General features: G+C 36.8%; 1 long non-coding RNA gene across 1 annotated transcript in view; it reads left to right on the top strand.

The window, feature by feature from the left end:
* LINC02492 (long intergenic non-protein coding RNA 2492) overlaps nucleotides 1-13,731 on the top strand; it is a 139,764-nt gene extending 126,033 nt beyond the window's left edge. The window contains exon 3 of the long non-coding RNA NR_110436.1: nucleotides 13,406-13,731. This is a non-coding gene — a long non-coding RNA (long intergenic non-protein coding RNA 2492). The remainder of the gene's footprint in view (nucleotides 1-13,405) is intronic.
* The last annotated feature ends 299 nt before the right edge of the window (nucleotides 13,732-14,030 follow it).

The following is a 14,030-nucleotide window of genomic DNA, read 5'->3' as shown; positions in this document are numbered from 1 at the left end:
AATGAGACCTGAAAGGATTAGAATTAGAATAATTTGGGAACAAGTAAAGACAGGTACACAACCTCAAACACTAAAAACAGTTCTTGGGACACTGGATTTGAGGTACTTGGTTTGGGCCGTCTTCTTAATGGGGCAGGAGGATCATGTGGAGATGTTATGTGAGGAATGAAAGGTTATGCCCCATTCTGCTCGTACTGATGGCTGTGTGTGTGTGTGTGTGTGTGTGTGTATCTGTGTGAAGAAGGACTGTGTCATTTGTGCTACAGTTTATGTTTGGAATAAAGTTTTATGTGATCCAGAAAACGGTTCACAAATGAATATATCATTCCGAATCTAAAAATCACGTTAAGTCCTATATTACCTATACTGTTAAGGTTCAGGCTATCAACAGGAAAACACAATTTCTTAATCTCATCTTTAACTGGATAAATGCGATTTTAGTGGACATAGATTCTCTAAATATATGAAAGATACAAAGGAGGCAACTGGATAATTGGTGTACTTAGAACTTGGTTCTGTTATCTTCCTTGTAAGAACTTTATTGAGGTCTGTTTTGCATATCATAAGAGTTCAGCCATTGCAGGTATACAATTCAATGACTGTTTTGTAACTCTGTGGCATGATAGGAATATCACCATAAATCGATCTCGGAGCATTTTTTCATGCCCCATCTAAAATCCCTACTGCCTATTTACAGTTAATTCTTTTTCACACTTTAATCCCCAGGCAACTACTAATCTAGTATTGATCATTAAAAATGGAATCCACAGTCTGTGGTCTTTTGTGACTGGCTTCTTTCACTTAGGGCAATGTTTTTGAGGTTCATCCATGATGTAGCATGTGCCAGCAGTTCATTCCTTTTTATTATCCAATGCTATTTCATCATATGAATAGACCATATTTTTATCCATTCGCCAACTGAGGGGTGGTCAAGTTGTTTTCAGGTCCTGGCTTTTATGAATAATGCTGTTATAAACAATGATGTGCAAGTCTTTATGTAGATAGATGTTTCTTTTCTCTTGGACAGATACTTAGGAGTGGAATTGCTTGGTGATATGGTAGGTTTATGCACAACATTTTGCGGAAATGCCAAATTATTTTCCAAAGGGGCTGAAATGGTTTTATTATCTTGATGATGATGAAGACAATATCTGCTACTACTATTTCTATGTGATGTGGGCCAAGATTAAGTTAAAAATTACATATATAAATATATATATGTATATAATTTTCCATTCAATTCTCACAAGAATTCCTTGTAGTAATCACCAATATTATTATTCCCATATATACATCTTGGGTACTTTCACTATGTTTCTGATTTCAGTTGCTCCCCAGATTGGTAGTCTGCTATTTAACAAATATACCTAATACATTTAGGGAAAAGATACCATGTGATCTAAAATAAAACAGGGAAGTATCAATATTTGTTGGTATTAGGAAGCTGGGCAATTTTTGAACAATTCTAAAGTCATGGATGGATGAACTGAATTAGATGAGTGAAGAGGCACATGTCTGCCTTGGGTGGCCAATTTATTCAAGAAATGTACTGCATTTTAGAAGATGGGGAATCAGCCTGACACCCTGGAAGTGTCTATGGTTGCTACTGTTCTAGGCTGATTGTAACTCAATCTTGGCACACATCAGCTCAGTAGAATGACTAGATGAATTCTTTGAGGTCAGAGACTGGTCCTGTTTATTGTTGTATCACTGGTGACTAGATCAAAATAAGGACACAATGTATATTTGGTTGATTATATATGGCATCAAATGAATATGCATTTTCCAGGCGTGGTCTCAGTGGTGCCAGAGTTACATCATGGTGAGTCCAAATCAAACAGAAAGTAGCAACAACCCCGAGTATCCAGACTACAGGACTGATGCTTTACAACTGTTACAACTCTAAATTCATTCCAGCAAGGTGGCGTCACCTTTGTGCTTTAAATTAGCCATTATGAATTTTTGTCCCAAGGCTAAACTAAATCTCTGCAGGTACTTGTATTGCATGCAGTCACATATTTCTTCTCGTAGAAAAACCTAAGTTAAAGATAACTCAGCAATGTGGAGCTTAGAGTGCCACATGCCTCTGTTGAGAGGGAAAGAAGAGAACATCCTACATGAGTGTACTGTGTTAAATGAAACAAAGTAGCATCGGATAAAGTCATTTTTTTTTCATGCCAGTTAAGGTTTAGGCTTAGATCCTCATATCTTCTCCTATATTAATCTTTTTAATATTAAGGAGCTTTAACTTAATAAATACTTAATAATGTTCTCTCTTTTTCTAATTGACTTTGAAAAAAGGCAAATAAACAATGGCAGATAATTAGGGCCAAAATTTATTATGACATTGATTTACTTCATGATTAAAGCTATAAGAAATGTTGGAAAGACAGCTCATATATATCTCTATATATGGACTATATATAGGTTTTATATATATATACATATATATATACACACACATATATATATACATATATATATATATATATATATACACACACACACACACATATGCGAGAGAGAGAATGTAAAAAAATGCAGCCAGGAAAAAATGCTGGGAAAATTATACCAAAATGCTAACAGAAGTTGTTAGGATCTTGCAATTGGGAGCATCTCTTTTTTTTTTCTTCAACTTTTATTTTAAGTTCAGGGGTACATGTGTAGGATGTGCAGGTTTGTTACATGGGTAAACATGTGTCATGGTGGTTTGCTGCCCAGATCATCCCATCTCCTAGATATTAAGCCCAGCATCCACTATCTATTCTTCCTGATGCTCTCCCTCTCCCTGCACCCCTCCACAGGCCCCAGTGTGTGTCCTTCCCCCATGTGTCCATGTGTTCTCATCATTCACCTCCCACTTATGAATGATTGCATGTGGTGTTTGGTTTTCTGTTCCTGCATTAGTTTGCTGAGGATACTGCTTCCAACTCCATCCATGTCCCTGCAAAGGACATAATCTCATTCCTTTGTATGGCTGCATAGTATTCCATGGTGTATGTGTGCCATATTTTCTTTATCTTGTCTATCACTGATGGACATTTAGGTTGATTCCACGTCTTTGCTATTGTGAATAGTGCTGCAGTGAACATACATGTGCATGTATCTTTATAATAGAATGATTTATATCCCTTTGAGTATATATCCAGTAGTAGGATTGCTGAGTCAAATGGTATTTCCACCTCCAGGTCTTTGAGGAATTGCCACACTGTCTTCCACAATGGTTGAAATATTTGCACTCCCATTTACAGTGTAAAAGCATCCCTTTTTCTCCACAACCTTGCCAGAATCTGTTGTTTTTTGACTTTTTAATAATAATGCCACTCATTCTGACGGGCGTGAGATGTTATCTCATCGTGGTTTTTCCTTGATGATCAGTGATGTTGAGCTTTTTTTCATGTTTGTTGGCCACATGTATGTCTTCTATTGAGAAGTGACTGTTCATGTCCTTTGCCCACTTTTTAATGGGGATATTTATTTTTTTCTTGTAAATTTGTTAAGTTCCTTGTAGACTCTTGATATTAGACCTTTGTCAGATGGATAGATTGCAAAAAATTTTCTCCCATTCTGTAGGTTGTCTCTTCACTCTGATGACAGTTTCTTTTGCTGTGCAGAAGCTTTTTAGTTTAATTAGATCCCATTTGTCAATTTTTGCTTTTGTTGCAATTGCTTTTGGTATTTTCTTCATGAAATCTTTCCCCATACCTCTATGTCCTGAATGGTATTGCCTAGATTTTATTCTAGGGTTTTTATTGTTTTGGGTTTTACATTTAAGTCTTTAATTCATCTTGAGTTAATTTTTGTGTATGTCGTAAGGAAGGGTTCCAGTTTCAATTTTCTGCATATGGCTAGCCAGCTCTCCCAGCACCATTTATTATATAGGGAGCCCTTTTCCCATTGCTTTTTTTTTTTGTCAGGTTTGTCGAAGATCAGATGGTTGTAGGTGTGCAGTCTTATTTCTGAGTTCTCTTTTCTGTTCCATCGGTCTGTGTGTCTAAGAAAATCTTCTTTTTTCTGTTTTCCAGTTTCTGTATGTGGTTACATCAAATAGAACAATAAATAATGATGAAATTAATTATTAACTCCTAGGCTAAAAAGAGATCTTTGGAGTGTAGCAGTGCGATCGTAGCTCACGGAAACCCTGGCCTCCAGCAATCCTTCTATCTTGGCCTTCCAAAGTGCTTGAATTACAGGTGTGAGTCACTGTGCCTGGCCCTAGGTTTTTTGTTTGTTTGTTTGTTTGTTTGTTGTTGTTGTAAGTAGCTTTCATTGATTGTTAAGCATGTGCCATATAGGATGTGTCCATACATCGTATCATTTAATTCTATTACTATTTCCATGGCACAGATATTACTATTTCTTTCATTTTAAGGAGTAGGAAATTGTGGCTTATATAATTAATTGTGCTAAGTCAGGTTAAGTAAGGAGTTAAGTATATCATTGAGTAAAACTCCAGTTCTGATTGATTCTTAATCAAGGCATAACCTCTTAGCTCTTGTTGAGGGCTCAAAATAGGAACCTCAAATAGGAACTAAGGACTGACTAATAAACTTGAGACCTCATAAATTTAGTGTCTTGGGGAAAAATGTGTTCTTTGTAGATTTTGGTTCTCATAAACAGAATTTTCATATGTCTGAGTTTTTCACTTGTAATCGGAATATTTAGCAACATGAAGTCAGCTTCGTGGGATCGGAAGTCAGAGAAGGCAAAAGTTTTTTGCATGTTTCCTCATGACTAATTTTAATTGTCTACCCCGCCCAATTCTAAATTGCTATCACATTCTTGCCTGACCTCAGAGATCACTCAGATTTCTTGGGGACAAAATTTGCTGGCCATATTTAGTATTCCTCGGCAATTGTCCATCTTCCAAGTAGGAGAGTTTAGGGAAATGTGCACCCTCTGTACACAAGGGAACACGAGGACCCTTTCCTGCTCAGTGAATCGTAAGGCAAATTGTTCCCGTAGCCCTAATTCAAGGGCAATGACAGCCAGATCATATGGAACCTTTCCAGTGGAGCCTTCGCAGAGTGGGTGGGTGGCATTTTCTTTCTCTTTCCTTGGGACCACCTGACTCACCGTGTCTGATTGGCCACCCTCTAAGAACAACTCTTAATGACAGCAACAGCCTTTGTCTGACAGCAAACAGGTTTCTCTGAGCCAATGTGTTTGGCCTGCAGATGAGCCCAAAACAGCTTTACACTAGAACAGTTGAATTCGTCTTTAAAAAAAATTTGTTTGTACTGACTGTTTGGAATTTGAATGGCAGGGGTAGGTGAATCTTGCTGGTGGCTGTCAAGTAAGATAGTGTTAATCTGAGTTAGATGGTTAAACAGGGAGCATAATTCAGGGAAAAAACTTCTTTTCATGTGAAATGTTAGCACTTTCCATCTTGGTGAGGGTTTCCTGCTCATTCCTTTTGAATTGATCTGAGATGTTTGCTTTGGTTTTAAAACGAAAACAAAAATAAAGAGAAGAAGCCCATATAATGTCTTCAACTCTCTTTTTACATAGTAGACTAGCTAAGAGTGCTGATGGAATTAAATAAAGAACAGTGCAACTTCCATGCTGCTTAAAACCATTTATAACACAGCGCAAAGGCACCAGGATATGTTCAGCATTGTCTAATTTAGAAAAATGAAGAGCCGAGTTGGGAGGAATAATGACCATCAGATCACAGTGTAGAATTGTGGTGAGTAAAAGCACAGCCTGTCTTTCTTTCACGGGCCACATGCAGTCTTCTCTTTGAATTGTCAGAATTTCACCAAGTAAAAGGCACTCACGGCCTCAATCCCCAAATTCATGTTCCCTGTTTCAACTGCCCCAAACATATGCAATTTGTAACAATTTACCCAATAATAAATAAATGATCTTATTGTGATGAAACAAATGGCCTTTAATCATGGAATTTTCATTGTATCTTTAATGAACATTGATTACCATCATGATTGTAATGATTGTGATCTGTTACAATAAATTTTCAAGTGAACAGTGCTACACCTGCAAGCAGCCAGGGAAGATTTGAAATCAATCCAGCAACAAAAGTTATCTTTCTAACCCTCCACGTTCTCCACTGCTATTTGTTTTGAAAGGGATTTGAAATGAACATTAAACATGTCATAAAACTTGCTTTTTGTGCTCAATAATTTATTTCTTGTTAGAACCATCTTTCAGGCTAATTAAGATGAATTGTTTGTAATTAACAGAAACCTGGCATTCATAGATTGGCTTGAAGTCTGAATTTTAAATGACTAAAAGAATAGGAACCTTGAAATTAGAAAATGATTACTTACTCTGTAATTTGCTGCCCAAGCGAGTACCTGTTCATGATGTAGATTTCCACAAATATTTAGCTTCTATTGTCTCAAGCAATACTAATACTGAAAAGCAAATCTTAAGGTTAAAAAAATGTCTTTAGAAAAGATCACAGATTCAAGTTGAGTACATCTTGAACAATTAGAACATTTCTCTGAAACTGGTTAGTTGACTTCTTCCAGATATATGTTTCTTTCCTTTTCCATTCTTTCAGATTTTCTTCATTTCTTCAATTTCTAGACTAACGACATTTTAGATGGGAAAGAATGTCAACTGATTCAACTTGGTGATCTGGGTTAAATAACATATTTTTCTCTACTATAAAGACATAGGGTTGAGCTAGATGATCTTTTAAGGCCCCTTACAGCCCCTAAATTGCAAAATTCCAACTACTTTTTCTTCATCCTTTTGTGTTCTCTTTGTACTCTGAGTAATTCTTTGGGCCAGGTTTGCTGTCTATGAAGATCCAACCCAGTGGTTCAGAGACCATTAACTTTCAGATTGCTTGGCCACGTCCCAGGTCCTCAGGATTAATAGGTCCAGGGCAGCCTTAGGAATCAGCATGTTGAGAACCCACTTGTGTTGATTCTGGGGTAGATATTCTGTGGACCCATGCCTATGGACCAAACAGTTTACTTCCTTGCTTCCTTGTTTACAAGTTTTACGTAATAACACACCATCAACAGCTGGCCTTGTGTTGAGCATCATCTATTATAAGCAAATAAAATTTAGCAAATACCATGAAAGGCAATTTTTAAAGAATTCTATTTAATGAAGATGTCTATTTTTCTTATAGTATTTTATAAAGGAGCATAAAAGAGTGAAGATACTGAAACAATGAATAAAGATTCAGTTCTAACTACCAGAAAAAGTCATTTATCAGTCTCTGTCTGGAGAAAAGTATGGCTCAAGATCAAAGATTCCATGTGGCCTGGCCAGGTTTAAGTGGAAAAAGCTAATGAATTTATAGTTATACCTAATGAATGCATAGTTAGTTTAAGCCATCAGAAATGAGAGGGTACACTGTTTACATCTTATCATATGATGTTCTAAAGGGTTTCAGGTATCTGGAGTTGAGCTTCTTGGGTTAACTCGAGTGGGCAGAATTCTGGCTGGTAGGGAGAGCTGAGTGATCTCATTGACAGGAGTCCAGGGCCCACAACGGCCTTCTGTGCCTTGTCCATGCAGACTATCCCTTGTCCATGTGGCCACCTTGTGTGCTGGTCCGTCCGTCACTGTTTTATATAGGAAATCCAGTACCATCCACTTTCCTCATCTTGCAGACTTTTACTGATGGTCTAAGGAAGGGTGATGTGCTGCATACTCCTCTGACTTCTTTATCCATATCTCCACTATATTTTCTCTCACAGTTTTAATTATTTATTTATTTTTAATTTTATTTATTTTGAGATGGAGTCTTGCTTTATCACCCAGGCTGGAGTACAATGGTGTGATCTCAGCTCACTGCAACCTCTGCCTCCCAGGTTCAAGTGATTGTCCCACCTCAGCCTCCCGAGCAGCGGGGATTACAGGTGCCTGCCACCACGCCTGGCTAATTTTTGTATTTTTTGTAGAGAGGGGGTTTCACCATGTTGACCAAGCTGGTCTTGAACTCCTGACCTCAGGTGATCTGCTCACTTCAGCCTCCCAAAGTGTTGGGATTAAAAGCCTGAGCCACTGTGCCCAGCCACTCTCACCCTTTAAAAATCTTTAAAGTAGAAATTGCTCCCTTGTTTCAGAAAGGACAGTCTTAGACACATGACTTCTTCTAATCATGATGTTTTCTAGGTAATTATGGTGCTGCCTGAAAAAAAATTCTGCTGAATCTCTCTCCTCCACCGCCTACCCATGGGGCCCCTGACATGTGAATATAGTTTGGAATGCTACTTTATTAATTGTTTTAATTCTAATACTTCTCAAACCCTTTAATGGGCCATTAAATATTGTGTATCTCCATGCATGGAGAGAAGGAGAAGTGTAACGAGTTATATTAAACAGATGGAACTTTGTTTCATAGAGCCTTTAACGACATCTTGCATAATACCAGGATCTCATGGAGCACAGTTTTAGAGAATTTCTCTTGAGAAAGAGAAAGAGAAATTTTCCCTTATGTGCTTTGAGGGAATATAAAATTGGGAAGAAATAGGAGGCACAGCATGAACTGGGAGGCTGCACCAGAGTTTCAGGTAAAGGAATGGTGTGTGGCCAGAAAGTAAAAGGGGACATTTTTGCACAAGTACTTTGAAATGTACAATTTTCTCATCAGGATCCTTTTACTTAGTGATCCCTTACCTCTTTGAATATGAGAGTCCCTCTTTCCAACAAAATTTTGAGTTTCCCCTTATGATAAAGTAATTATACTTTTTCTGTGTTTTTACTGAGATACTATATCATGATGAAAAGCTACTGTGGTCAAACAGCAATGAAATATCACTACACACTTATTAAGATGGCCAAAGTCTACAATATGAACACCAGATGCTGCTGAGGAGCAACAGGAATTCGCATTCATTGCTGGTGGGAAGGCAACATGCTACGCCCACTTTGGAAGACAGTTTGGCAGTTTCTTTAAAAATTAAACATCCTCTTATCATAGGATTCAGCAATTGCACTCTTTGATAGTTAACCAAATGCGTTAAAACTTACATCCACACAAAAACCAAAACGTGATGCTTACAGCAGCTTTATTCATAATTGCCCAAACTTGGAAGCAAGCAAGATGCCCCTCAGCAGGTGACTATATAAAAAAACTGTGCCACTTTGGACAATGGACTCATATTCCTCAACAAAGGGAACTGAACTATCAAGGAAGACAAACATGGAGGATCCTGAAATAAATATTATTTAGTGAAAGAAGCCACTCTGAAAAGGCTACATACTGTGTGATTGCAACTATATGATCTTCTGAAAAAGGCAGAAAAAGATCAGTGAGTGCCATGAATTGGGGTAGAAGGGAGGGATGAGGAGACAGAACACAGTAGATGTTTAGGGCAATGAAAATTGCTGGATGGTACTAAAATGGTGAGTATGTATCTTTATACATTTGTCAAAACCTGTAGAATATACAACACCAAGAGCGAACCTTAATGTATACCACAGACACTTTGGGGAATAATGGTGTGTCCAAGTAGGTTCGTGGATTCTAACATGTTCTGCTCTGGTTCAGGACGTTGGTAGTGGGGGAAGCTGTGCATGTGTGGAGGGAGAGGGTATATATGCACTTTCTTCACTTGCTCTAAAACTGCTCTAAAAATCAAGTATATTTCATTTTAAATCTTTAAAAATGCACTTACCCTATGACTCGGCAGTCACATTCTTGGGCATTTACCCCAGAGAAAGAAAATCTTCTGTACACACACACACACACACACACACATGCTACTATGACCTTAACAATCCATCCGAGTTAATTTGTAGTCTATTAATCAGAATAGCAGCTTGTGATTAGTTTGCAAATAGTACTTGGTGCGACTGTAGGTTGGGGGAACCCTTAAGGGGTGGTGTTAGGGACCAGCAGATTGGGACCGTTGCCTTACGGCTAAATGGCCTCTACTTTCAAGCTTTGGAGAGTATACCAGCAAAGTCTCTGTCTTGCATAGATGAGTTTCATGCTATATAAACATTTTGAGTTGCTATACACATCTGCTACTTGCATATTGATATTTTCAGCCAAACCCGTTAATGTGGGAGAATGATCATTGAAACTCAGCATAAACATCAGCCCCAAGCACGTATCAAACACCTACCATGGACACCCTTTTTTCAAAACTGAGGCTGTGAAGTCTGGGCCGAGACTTCTCCTTATGCCCTAAGTTATACGTATGTGATACACAACCGTAAAACACTACATCTAGGAAGTTCATTTTCATGACCCAATACATTTTTTGAAATGTTTTATTGAGACGTTTGCTGGTGTGGGATTTATATTTTGTATTCATATTCAGACATATCTGCTTAATCATCTGGTAAGCAGTTAATGTAAGCAGCATGCATGTATCACTTCCGTTATCATACTTATAATAAAAATACCCCTTTTGGAGCAACTGCGATGTGCCAGGAGGTTGTGTCGGTGGTTTACATACATTCATAACAATCTCGCAGTAACCCTGAAAGACAGCTATTGTACCATTTTACAGAGGTTAAGAAACATGTTAACGATGGAGCTCCTAAGTAGCAGAACTAAATTGTGCTTTAAACCCAAGCATATCCAATATTTAAATGATGGTGGTGGTGATGATGTTAACATTAATTTTCATAGTTTTAGATAAGGACTTTTTTTTCACCAATGTTTGCTTACCATTATACCTAGTGGTTAAGAGCCCAGGCTCTAGACCAAACTATCAGAGTTAAAATCTTATTTACAGAATTTCTGTGCTGTGTAATCTTGGGCAAGATATTGACTTCTTTGTGTTTTTATTTCCCCATTTTAAAATGGGGATAATAATATACTTACAGAAATGCTGTAAGAATCAAATGATGTAAAAATGTTTAGAAGAGTCCCTCGCACATAGTAAGCACTTCATCTATGTTAACTATTATTATTATTGTTAAAGATTTTTAAAACTTTAGGTGGCATTCCTGCAACATTTTTATTTTAGAATGTTTATGAGTTTTCTGTGTCATTGGCCACTGCTTGAAATTCTGATTACTCAGTATTTTCCATTCAGTGTGAAACTCCCTGGAACTGGCAGGTTCCTGCCCTTAACTGTTTTGATTGGGTTCATCCCTGAACACCTCTAATCAGCACCTTCAGATTGCTGTCCAGCCGCCATCTCCCTGATTGCAGAAATGGCACACATTTAGAAGATGCTTGAAATGAAGGCCGTGGAGCCAAAAATTTATATTTTTGAAAATTTTATGCAGTATGAGCTACATAGCATCCTTTTATTGCAAAAATATGAAATTATTCTTATCTGCTTATTTATAATATGGATACCTGGGATAACTTAGTGTCAGTGTTGATAAGAACTCAAGGTATTTTGAAGCAGATTTAGAAGTGTATTTGTGAGTCCTAATATTCTATAAGAAAAATGCTTTAAAACCTCATGGTTGCTCTATGTTAGGCTATGTAGAGTAGCTTGGAATTACATTAGTTGTAGAAACATCAACTTTGTTGATATGAGATACTTTTCTCCCAAGAGGAAGACTGAAAACAGCATATGAGCCAGTTAATCAGAATGAGCTGTTGTTTGTGGCATACCCTGATATTCATTCACTAGTGTTGATATGATTACATTCAGCATGTCACATGCAAAATATAGGTACTCATTTGTGGCAGAGTCTAGTACACAAACCCTTTCCTTCATTGATCTTTTAAGATCAAAATGTGCATTTCTAAAACTATGTTTTCAAACCATGACTGTGTATTCTGGGTTTGTGTTGTTCTTTGATCTTAAAAGCACCTTTTTGTTTTTCTAACAGTGACATGAGAACATACAACAATGGTTGAGCTCCAACTCTGTATTCAAGAAGGATCAATTTTACACAGTTTAGGTTTAATGCGACTGAAGTAAAGAAAAGTATATGAAGTATATTTTCTTTTTTGTCAGGCCATTAGTAGCAATATGTATGAGAGAAATTAGGATCTTGGAAGTTACACATCAGAATACTGTTTTATAATTACCTTATTCTTTATTTTAAAGAATAGAAACATACAAGTAATTTGGAGAAAATCGTGCACTGTATAGATTCCAGATACTCAGGTAAACGGTTGCTATAAACAGGACTTAGCGTTTTCGTTTCCTTTGTATGGCACAAAACAAATATGCCATAAGATATGTGTTTAATGGGGAAAACGATATGAAAGAAAATAATTCTTAAACAGAAGAACACTCCACAAAACGTATCCAGTGAGGACCATCAGGAGACGCAGACAAAAAAACCCTTCCCTCTCTGCTCCGAGACCCCCTGAGACAAGGCTTACATGAGAAAAGGAATGTGCATCTCATTAAAAATTGTAGTCTCAAAAATGTCGTAAATCTTTCATTTCCTACTCAAGAATGTAGTCCTCCTGCAGCCTGACAGAGACAGAGAAAGGAAGCAAGGCTTTTTTTTTCATCTTTTTCTTAAGTTAATTAAGAGTCTGCTGTAGCTCTAAAGTGTTTTCATTCTTACAAAGAAAGAAAATGATGGCAAGTGTGTTTTAAGATGTAATAGATGCTTCTTCAAAGCAATGAACATAATGCACTTGGGAATAGTATCACCACAAAATGAAAAATTTAACTCTTGCATTTTAAACTAACATAGATGAGCATGGTTGGAAAATGTGAATTTACATAAATATTCTCTTAGTACCTACAGCATTTGTGGAAACTTTTGAATACAGTAATTGAGTAATTTCGATAGAGCGTATTTCTATTCCATCGAACTCTAAGTTGGCTAAATATGAAATGCAGAAGAGTGACAAAATGGAATGCTGGTTTGACTTACGCCTTAGTAGATGGAAATCATCAGTAATAAATGCATCTTATAACAGCAAAATACTGCAAGACAAGTGGTATAAAATATTGGGTAATAAATTCAGGAAATTATAGTTTGTCTCTCGGAAGATAGTTGATGGCTCAATCTGGTAACTAATGCTCATTCTAAGGTTGTCCTCCAAATGAACGAATTCACAAAGGAAATAGACTAAAGGGTCCTGAAAAAAAGCAATCAGTTGCTTTATCCACCTTTCCTCAATTCCTCTAGGGTATCTGCAGTCTTGCCAATTAGGCCTGCAAAGGAAACAAACATACGTGTGTTCCAATCGGAGAAGTCAGAAGTCACTAATGATGCAGAAAAGCACATTCCAAGTTTTGGCAATGCCATATATGTTAGAAATTATACTACAATGCAGTTAGAAAATATATTTTTTAAAAGTCCAAAAAGATGAAGGAACTATTTGGGATCAGGCTGCAAAGCTCTTTATTATCTTTTTGCCACTATATAAATATGGAAATTGAAAATGTAAGTGTTCAGAAACTTTTGTAGTAATTTAGCAGGATAATTTTGTTTATTAATTCTAATAATTAAATGTTGGGGGCTATATTTTGTATGTCTGCTTTTTTTTTAAATTTCATTTTTATAGTAACTCAGTTTTTATTTTGTTTAACAGAGTATTGATTCTGCAACAAACTGAGAAGAAACCTGGCGATTCACAACAGAGAGCTGAGAAATCCTAAGTCTGGATTCCAGCTAAATGGGAGCAGACTAAATAGAGCGGCAGTCGGCGAACTACATGTAGCCCATGAACAAAATCCGGTCCAGCACGTGTGTTTTTTTTTACGGCCCACAAATGAGTCTGTCTTTACAGATGAATGTTAAAACTGGGTTGACAAGAGAGAACACTCACTTTGAACCGCAACTAAACAAAATATTATCACCTTTCCCCTCAAAAAAGGTTTTTGTTCTTCTCATTAGTAAATTTGTATTATGACAAAATCATAGTCAATTTTTATCATATTCTAAATTTTGACAATACAAATTGTGGGATTTTTTTCCCTGGTTATATATGTACATACATAATGCCCTGAATTGTTCCTTATGATCACGAAGCCCTAAATATTTACTGTCTGGCCCTTTACAGAAAGAAACTGTCAACTGCTAGAATAGAAAAATATTTTCCACCTCTTAACAGTTCTTACAAGTGCAAAAATATGTATATTTCCCAAGCTCACGCAATGTTTTATGTATATACATAGTAATATCATTTAAATGTTTACAGATACTATTCTAAGATA

Source organism: Homo sapiens, chromosome 4 (assembly GCF_000001405.40).
Source record: "Homo sapiens chromosome 4, GRCh38.p14 Primary Assembly".
Taxonomy (NCBI): Eukaryota; Metazoa; Chordata; class Mammalia; order Primates; family Hominidae; genus Homo; species Homo sapiens.
The sequence above is the reverse complement of the archived record's forward strand: the minus strand, read 5'-3'. Positions and strand labels throughout refer to the sequence as shown.